This window comes from Homo sapiens, chromosome 2 (assembly GCF_000001405.40).
Source record: "Homo sapiens chromosome 2, GRCh38.p14 Primary Assembly".
In the NCBI taxonomy this organism is placed as follows: Eukaryota; Metazoa; Chordata; class Mammalia; order Primates; family Hominidae; genus Homo; species Homo sapiens.
Genome location: NC_000002.12, coordinates 81,157,032 through 81,167,978, shown reverse-complemented (window position 1 = coordinate 81,167,978; position 10,947 = coordinate 81,157,032).

Genomic DNA, 10,947 nt, shown 5'->3' with positions numbered 1-10,947 from the left:
TTTTGCTTGCAGTGCTATGAGACCTTAAGCAGAGAACTTAGTTCAGTGATGCCTGGAATCTTGACCCACAGAAACTGTGAGGTAACAAATCGTGGTTGTGTTAAGCCTCTAAGTGTGTGGCAATTATGCAGCATAAGGAAAGAAAGCACTATACATTAAATAAATTTGTAAAACCATATTTTGTATATTAACATGTATAGGTTCACTATTCTTACTCATAAATGGATAAACAATCTTTTAAAACATTTCTTGTTACTGATTTCTCATATGGTAAACACCAGTGAGTACAGTATAAACAAAAGCTCTTTGGGCTCCTCATATATATATATATATATATGCAATTTGCAAAGTCAGGTTCACACTTTATCTCCACCTCTGAGCTCAAAAAAATGAATAGTATAGTAGTTAAGTGCACAAGGATCTGAATTGCCAATCATACCAGCTATATGACCTTGCATAAGGTACATAACCTCTTGGCATTTCAGCTTCATATTGTGTCAAGAAGGTGTAAGTCAATAGAAAAATGTAAAAGTTAATTGATAGAAGCTAGAAGAATTGAGCTATAGGCTGGGCGCGGTGGCTCACGACTGTAGTCCCAACACTTTGGGAAGCTGAGGCAGGTGGATCACCTGAGGTCAGGAGTTCGAGACCAGCCTGACCAACATGGTGAAACACTGCCTCTACTAAAAATACAAAATTAGCCAGGTGTGGTGGCACACACCTGTATTCCCAACTACTCTGGATGCAAAGTCGGAAGGATCGCTTGAATCAGGGAGATAGAGGTTGCAGCGAGCCAAGATTGCGCCATTGTACTCCAGGCAACAAGGGTGAAACTCCACCTCAAAAAAAAAACAAAAAAAAAAAAACAGAAAATAATTGAGCTATAGTAACAATTAAATAAACAAATCTAAAATAATGATGAGTGATAACTGTTTGGGGGGACTTATTATGTATTAGAAAGAAATGGCTTTACAAAGTTTATTTTATTGGATCCTCATAAAGATTCTACTACAAGTATATTCATTTCATAAATAAAGAGTCTGAGATGTACAGAAGTGAAGTGTCTTGCTCAAAATTCACAGCAGGTACTCTTGTCTCAGGCTCAAGCTCTGAACTGCATGGCCTCCTAAGGTAAATTACCCTTTATGCAGACTTCTATCATAGCTCTTACTTTCTTATCTTTTTTTCAACTTTTGTTTGTTTGGCTTTTCTAGTTATATTAGATAATTCATTAACTACTCTTACTTTTGAGCAGGATGTATCTTAAGCCTTTTAACCTCAGTATTGATCATATGTTCCTATTTATTTTTGTCATAGCATATATTATACAGTGATTATTGTATTTATTTCTACGTTACATTTTTGTCTTCAGGAATAGAAACTTTGACTCTTTTTTTTTCACTATTATTTCCATAGTGTCTAGAACACTTCCCAACATATATTAGGCATTCAGTAAATATTTGCAGAATGAATAACTATGCCTGATGGATGGAAGTAAGCAATTGATTGCTGTTGAGTGTCACTCTATCTATTTAATTCATCCACCACAACTGTCCACAATTCAGGTTTTCATTATCTGACATATTGTGTCTCATCACCCGGGCACATATTTCTGTATTCTTTCCTCAAATTGCGAATGCTTTTTCTTTTCCTTTTGACTAACCCAAATCATTCACATTCTGTGAGACTCAGATTAAAATGAACTCTACTTGAAGCCTTTTCTTAATCATTACAGCTCACAGTGATCTGGTCCTTTGCTAACTGCCCATGCTAGGCATTAATTATTAAAAAGAAAACTTTTTAAACATTTACATAATTTTAGACACTGTTCTAGGTTTGAGGATAGAACATGAAATAAAGGCCTTTTCCCTAGCATAACTTACATTTTGAGTTGAAGTCAGGAAACAAGTAAATACATAAATAAAATCATTTTGCATCATGATGAATGCTATGAAAAAATAAACTAATGCAGTTTTGCTGAAATGAACAATAGATGGAGGGCCAGATAGTATAAAAGCCATGTGGATATCTGTAGTAAGAATGTCCCAGGCTGAAGGAACAGCAAAGAAACTGTAAAACCAGAAAGATAAATACCATATATTGTCATATGCTTATTTGTTTCATATTATTTGTTCTCTAACTGTTCCATATTTGTTAGTTTTTTAGTTACATCTTGATTTTATATTTTCTGATGGTAGGAATACTGTTGTATTCTTAGGGTTTATACCATAGCACCTCAGAACCAGAATGTAACATATGAAACAAATTTTATATGAGTACTTACTGAAAAATTATTATTCAAAAATGTTTTTAGTAACAACTCCTTCTCTATTCCTAGTTCAATACATTAAGATTGCTAAGTTTCTTCAAGGAAAAACATTTTATGAGTAATGTATTATTTATACCAATAAATAAATGAAAAATGGAATAAATACATGTCCCTGAGCCCATTTTCTCAAATGTAATTTATGTCTGCATTCAATTTGCATGGCCATTATAGTTCAGCAAAAAGGGGAGCATAATTTTCATCAATAAGTTTTCATCTTCTTGTTTTTTTATTTGAACAATGAAGAGTGCCATGCATTAATAAAATTAATTGTATTGACCAATCAAAAGATGGGAAATGTTGATGATTGATGAAATGTTAATAATTTCTTGTAGTAAAATAGATGTTATATTGTGAGAATTTGGTAAGCATAGCCGGAATTTTTTTCTTTTTTTATTTTTACAAGACGAGATTTTATTCTGTTTCCTAGACTAGTGTGTAGTGGCACGATCATAGCTCCTGCAGCCTCAAATTCAAGCCATCCTCCTGCTTCAGTCTCCCAAAGCTCTGGAATTACAGGCATGTTCCACCACTCCAAGCATCAAATTTTTTTTAATCACATTTCTCTATCCTGCACTGCCACATTTTCTCTCTCCTTAAGAGCCTACTTTTTTGGACAGCACCTGCTCTATAATGAAGACACTGGGTGTGATCCAAAAGCCAAGGGCGTGTCTCTCAAGTACCTCTTCATGCAATCTGGGTACCACCACATCTCTGAGAGCAAAAAGGGATCATAGAGATAATCTATCTTGGTCCTTAACATGTGCAGAAATGCCTTCTGCAACATCACAGAGACATGATCATCCAACATGTGCTGAAACACTTCCTGTGAATGAGAGCTCAACACTTCCCATTTTTGAGAACTCTGTTACTATATTCTTCTTCATGCCAAGCCATATTTACTTATTTCTCTGTATTCTAAGACTGCTTTTGAAATCCATGAGAATAGAGTGCAATTAAAATGATAAAATATCTTTGGAGATCACTAGACCTAAGTTCTAATTCTGGTTATACCTTTTGCTGTCTGGATGACCTTGCATACAACACAAGCTTTCTAAACCATAGTGTCTTCCATGGTAAGAAAATAGCTCTACAAATGATCGTAGGCTTATAACATTCACAAAATTATTTTCTTCAGCCACATAATCAATGTACAAAAATACACAATATACAAAAGCCTAAAGCCTTAGCATCATATAAACACAGATAGTGATCAGAAAACAAAACAAAACAAAAGTATACATCGGTGCAAAAGTAATTGCGGGTTTTGCCATTAAAAGCAATGGCATAATATACACATAATGAGCTGTTTCACCTAAATGTCTTTAAAATTCTGACATTTTTATGATAAACGGAAGTGAAGAGTTTTCTTCAACGTATATTTCATTAGAGGTTCACATTTGTTTTTATAAAAACATTTTACCTTTATACCTACCTGACACTTTTGTACATTCCTTTACTTTGTCATTATTTTTACTTATCATATAGCATTTATTATATGGTTAGCTATATGATTGAAGATTTGTGGGCTACACAGAGAAATAAAAAATATAGACCTGTCCTCAATTCGGTAGCAATCTAGTGATGGCTAAATAGGATATGAATGAAATGCAATAGGAGCACTCAGTAAAGAGCAATTTTTATATGTTTGTGAAGAAGTTAGAGAGAATAGAGAAAGAAATTAATTGGATCCTTGCTCTCTCATGCTAAAAGATCTCCCACATCAGGAAACAAATGAAGTGGTCATGTTGAATAAAGGAAATCTTTTCTCTCTCCTTGAGGTTAAATTATTTACTGATACTTCATGTAAAGGAGTCATAAAAGTTAGATAACAAATCAATTTAGAAATTTATACCATCTTTTGATGACATCATATGCCGAGCATTTAGTCACTTGTTAATGTAAAATGGTCACCTTACTAAACTAGTGAGTAATTTTTATTTCCCATCCACTCCCCTTGCTGTCCCCTGGAAGAAAACTTACTGACTGATACTTACGGCTAGAAAAGAGTCTGTTCCAGTAAAGAGACTTTTATACAGTACTTATATCTTTCGTAGCTGGCATCCAGTTCACCTTGTTCCTCTTTGTGTTTCTAGTTGCTGGGCTCTGGATTTTAAATAAAAGATAGCTTTGGTGACCTCAATGGATTTCTGTTGTCCAGGATCAGAACTGATAAATAATATATGCTTAGAGTATCCATTATTAATTCTTACAATCAGCAGTAAATAATGAGAGCCTAGCTTCATCTCTCCTGCCTTTTCCACTAGAGGCAGTTAGCTCAGTCCACAAGGTGCTTTTCAGAACTTCATCTGCTTATTTATATGTATATTCTGAGAGGCTGTGATTGGGAAACTCATCACAGAATATTTTTGCATTGGGCCCTAAAGGAAGTCCCATGCAGCAGCTTGCTGGACAATGTTCAGAGAAATAGTACATCCTTCCACAAAGCCACAAACCATGCACTCCAAAGCACAAACAAATCACACTGCACTAAAATCCCACTCTTCAATCAACACTGTATTCCAGTCTGTCATATCTCTACAACAGCTGCAGAGGGAATAACTCTTGTATAGAGTTTTAGAGTTTGCTTTGAAAGTAGGATGTGTGTACAAGTGACTTGCAAAAAAAGACAGTAATAAAACTCTGCAATCTTTTCCAATTTTCTCTCTCCATATTTAATGGTGCCTGGCATTTCTATAGATGACATTTAATATTTGAAAGGGCATAATTTCCCTCAATGCACAGAGGAGTTTCTGTTCTGTTTCTGGCAGATAGAGAGAAATTCATATCTCTACATGAGATCTGCATTGAAATCACTACATATGATGCATGTTTCTCAGTACTTACACCCTCTGCATCGTACCTCAAGTGTGTCTACAAAAATCCTCTATGTGGTATTTCTTTACAGGTCTACAGTCATTCAAACTAAGTAACAAAAATGAGCCAATAATTCTGGAGCTAAAAGTAGTTAGGGAAAAATCCAGTTTGATGCTCTTCAAATTGTATTAACCTGAGACCAGGAGTTTCGGAAGGCACCTCAGGGGCAAATGAAAGCTCTGGAAAGTCCAATCTGCTCAAAGCAGCTGTGCTTTAAAATGTTTCACACATTAAACTTTTCAGTGAAGTTTTGTTGGAAATGGGATTACATTTATTTAAAACAAAGACAATAAAAGACTGACTGAGTTCAGTCCATTCATTTTACAAATAGAAAACTTTATAAAAGATCAGAGACCTGGGAGGGGCAGAATCTGAGCCTCTGATCTCTTGTTGTAGCATCAAGTCCAAAGAAAAAAGACAGGAAACAACAACAAACCAACAAATTTCACAGTGACATGAAATAGAGTGAGTATGCTGGGAAACTTGCCTGGAGTGAAGAAAGCATGAGTTCCATTTTATAATTACATTGCTACAAGCACTAGCACCACACAATTTGCCCCTTGCCTAATATAAAGGTAAATTTTCAGTCTTCATTTGATTAATGACTAAGCAAAAGAGTAGGTCTCCAAAGTGTTTCACTCTGGTAAAGACCAGAATATTTTTTTTACAGTTTTAAAGCAAATACTTTTAATAAACATTATGACAAAAATGAGATACTTTTGTTGCTAAAGACGTGAAAAAAATGTGAATTTTGACAAATTCAAAAGAGTATGAATATGTTTCAAAGAAAGTTTTCAGAATCAATTTTATTTAATGTCTGCACCTAAGATTGCAGCTCTCAGTCTCCCCTCTAACCACTTACAGAAATGTTATTTCAAAGCGACCACAGTACATTAGCAGATACACAGGAGAATGGAGAGCCTCCTTACATACCTAATTGGAGAGAAATTATAAATGTAAAAACTAGAATATTAAAGTGAACACTAATAACAGGTTTAAAAATAATATGCTAGAAATACAGAATAGTAGAAAATGTTTCAATCAAAAACAATTTTGTAAAAGCTCACAAAATGAAAATGGCCTACGGCATAATTTCTAAAAATGTTTTAAATAGTGCTATTTTTACCTAAGAAGAAAGCTTGATATTTCGTAATAATGCGCTAGATGGGCATAATGGAATTATAAGAACAGGAATTGGAAAAAAACGGTTTCCATCAAGATGACATGAATTACAAACTTGTTTAGAAGAGGGAGTTGTATTATTTCTTCTTATAACTTCTGTAATTCATAGTACAGTTTGTTGTGTGCATGTATATATACAAATATATGTACATATGCAAATATATATACATTATGTGGTGTGTGTATACATATGCATAATGTATATTAAAGTGTGAAAAGGTGAATACATGAATAGATCGATAGACCTACTTCTTGATTTTTTTATTTTGTTGCTGAAGGAATTTACCAGTCTTGGGCTTTTATAGCCATCCTGAGTTATATACAAGCAAATGAGATAATAGTGGAATACTGAATTGCCTCAATTACCTAATTGAGTTAATCTATTTATTAAAAATTATCTGTTGAAAAGGTATGACACTGTTAAAGCTTATGAAATACGTCACAGGCTTGGTAATTTCCCTGAAAGAATTTCTAATCCCTAGGAAATTATTGACAAGTGGTAAAGAGCTAATAGTGCTAAGAACCCATAACAATGGCTCACAAACTTTGCTGCACGTTGTAATCACTTGGGAACCTTTAAAAAATACAAGTACCTAGTAATCATTCTCAAACATTCTGATGTAATTGTATGGGGTGCAGCTCGAGCCTCTGGGAGGCCATGTAGTCATCTAGGGCTATATATATTAAAGTTACTTTGGGTTCTTCAATATCCTATAGGATACTCTTTTCCATATAATCCTCTTTCTTTTTTGTTATTACCAAGACTCTATCAGGGTTGAAACATAAAGACTTCTCCATTTGATGCTCCAAACTTGATTCAGGTGTTTTCAGTTACAAGCAATTCATAGCATGCAATGGGCTCATTCACTCTACTTTGGCTATTAGAAAGTACTTAAACTAGCCTCTGGTTTAGGCTTGCGATCAGCTCACAGTAAACTTTCATCCCTTCTTGCACATGAGAAACATCTGAAAAGCTTCTGAGACATTAAAATGCCGTGCCCAAACTTGTTGCATATGAAAGTTTCCTAAATCAAAAGTTCACAACGCGTACATCAGAATGAGGATGAGACCCAGGCTTCCAAAAATTTTAAAGATCCTAATACGATTCCAATGTTCAACACTTTTCTAATGTCAGAACTCCATATCCAGAGTTTTTGAGGCAGAGCCTGGGCATCAAGATTTTTCGATTCCCCAGGAAATTCTAATGCTCACCCAGGATAGAAAATACTGACAGCAACTGCTCAAACATGTTTGCTTGTTGAAATGAGACACAAATACACATTTAAAAATAATATTTTTTTTTACTTTTAAAAAGGCAGTTAGGCCGGGCGCGGTGTCTCATGCCTGTAATCCCAGCACTTTGGGAGGTCGAGTGGGGTGGATCACGAGTTCAGGAGATTGAGAGCATCCTGGCTAACAAGGTGAAACCCCATCTCTACTAAAAATACAAAAAATTAGCCTGGCGCGGTGGCGGGCGCCTGTTGTGGTCCCAGCTACTCAGAATGGCGTGAATCCAGGAGGCGGAGTTTGCAGTGAACTGAGATCGCGCCAATGCACTCCAGCCTGAGCGACAGAGCGAGACTCCGTCTCAACAACAACAACAACAACAACAACAACAACAAAAGGCAGTAAAGTTTGATAGACATTGATTCAGAGCTCTGTTACTCAAAGTATGGCTCATGGGCCATTACCTGGTCCCAGTTAACAATACAGATTACAGGGTTGTTTTATAGACTTACTAAATCAAACTCTGAAAGAGTTTGGGCACAGAAATCTTCATTTTAAGACATTGCAAATAAGTTTAACTTGTAGATCTGGAACAGTGGTTTTGAACCCAGGCATAATTTTTCTCTTCAGTAGATATTTGGCAATGTCTGAAGACATTTTAGCTGTCACAAATGGAATGGGCATCATTGTTATCTAGTAGGTAGAGTTCAGGGGTGCCGCTAAACCTCCTGCAATGCCAGTGTGAATGACAGCCCCTTATAAAATTACCAAGCCCAAATTGTCAATAGTGCCGAGGTTGAGAAACCTCATTCTAGAGCAGTGGTTGTCAAAGCTTAGAGTGCAACAATATCACTTAGATTACTTATTAAAACATAGATTGCTGGGCCCCACCTTTCAGAATTTTTGACTTGGGAAGTCCAGGATGGGAACAACGAACCTTCATTCCTAACAAGTTCTGGTGATGTTGATACTGCTAGTCTGGGTACTATACTTTTGAGAGCCATTGATCTAGAGATTGCCTCTTAATTTTCATCTAATTCCTTTGACTCTGCCTGCCCAGAAATGAAGTTCATCAAGAGGCAGAAATTTTAATATAGCTGTGGAATGCTACTGACAATTTGAAAACACATGACCAGAGTACCTTTAAACCTCTGACATTAGACTTCTTAGACAGAATTTCTCCATCTTTTTGGTCAGCATCAGTATTAAACTATAGAGCCATACTTTTGATTTTAAATACTTCACACACTCCAATCTAATGATTATCATTGAATTTGCTTGTTCTGCAGGTGATTCTGGCATGAGTCTGATAAAGACGCCTTTAATAACATAACCACAGCACCTCAAATATCTGTGATACATCTGAGGTAGAATTACTAACCAACTCAATAACTTTGGCAAAAGCAAATTCTTTTCATACAATAACTTATTTTTAAAAATGCCCTAGCCAACAGAACAAGATAGGCTGTCTCAGACCCGCTTTGAGACTACCTGCTTCTCACTAATTTTCTCTTAAGACCATCCCTTCCCCAGATCACTGTAATCAACAACACCAGACACACACAAAACGTTAACATTTCTGAATAGAGATTTAAAGTGTTTTCATTAGGCCCGCAGTCACTGCTCTCTCCATTAGAGCCATCAATAACCAGAGAGACAAAAATTATAAATCTGTAACTAGGCAACAAGGACAAAGCTCATGAACATTAGGGCAGAGACTGTAGCCTTTATAAATAAAACCCAAATAGCACCTCGGCTGAATATATTTTTCTGCTTTATTGCTGTTTTGACACAAATGAAACCAAGATATATTCCTCTTACTTTGTTTGTTTTTTCCTTTTTTTCCCTCCGGTTTATGTCTTCTGTTATTACTTTGTGGAAAGAGACAGAGTGGATGTAAAGAAGTCCATAAATTGGAACAAAACTGTTTTACTGTAAATATTTCTACATACTTATATTGTCTTATTTAGTATGTCTAATCAGCAGGTTTTCCAAAGTAATCCTGGGGGCTGCCTTTGTGTTTAGTCATGCTATCTGTAATTAAAAGGTATAATTTGTGAGACTAGCAGAAAAAAATCTGAATGAAAATGAATATGTGTGTAATAATGAAACAAAACTTACAGACATAAGCACATATGTTTTGGTTTCTTAATCTCCTTTCAAAACAGGAAACAAAGTGTTCAGAAAATCTAGTGAATTCATTATATTTATATAAATGTACAATTTCACTTCAATTATAGACATTCCCTTTTTCTAGTTTAGCATTTTGTATGGTTGATTTTTATCAAGCATTAAACTACAAAAGAGCTGAAATTCCTTAACATAATTCTAAGGTAACTTTTTCCTGCGGGATTCTCTTAAGGGGCTTCTTATTCAATGGTGCAGATATTAATTTAATGCCCAACAAAATAAATATAATAAGCCATTGTAACTAGAGGGATATTTGTTTTCAATTGCAGATACAGTCAGTTGAACTTGCTTGTTTTGTTTTATGTTTCATTTTAGCAGAAAGACTAGGAGACTTTTACCACGAGAATCCCATAGAGGTGCCTAAACTATCATCTATATGTGGTCCATTGACTTCTGGCATCCCAGAAAGGCCTTCTTGAGGTTCAGTTTTAACTTGAGTAGTAGATCCTTTTGCAGAAATATCAGGATTCTAAAGGAGCCTGTGAAAATGTTTCATAGAAGCCACCAGAAAAACACTAGCCCCAACTCTGCAAAGGATGCTTCAGGTAGGAGAAGAGAATTCATTCAGTCTCTATCCTAAGAAAAAGTTGATTCTTGGTAGGGAAAAATGACATCAGGTGTATAACTATGTAGTTTCACTCATTCTTTCCCAATGTAGAGAATAGATCACACTAAATTTCCTTAAGACAACTGTATAAATAATAAAGACTTTCCCTTTAATAGACCACTGAGAATTTATAATACAATTAAGATGAGAACCACTGTCCCTATTAGCATTGGTGGTTACAAGAATGACTACAAGGTTTAGAGAGGTTTAGACTGATTGGTTCACACCCTAGATTACGGGAAAACCAGTTCACAATCAAAGGAATAGCACAGGGCACAAATCTAAGGCATCCACTGACCAAGTAGAGATTAATACCAGCTGCTATACAGGAAGATTTTGTGCAACCCAAGGTAATCTCAGTAAAGTGAAAAACACACATTTTAAGTTTTGTGGTAGGATGGCAAACATTTAAAACATTCTTTTTCCCTCTATACATTATGATTGTACTACCATAATAAACCCTTAGCTGAGGCACTTTGAAAATAATAGGTGGCCTTTATTTAATAAAGGGCGCTTGAGGTGAAAAGAAGACAACAGT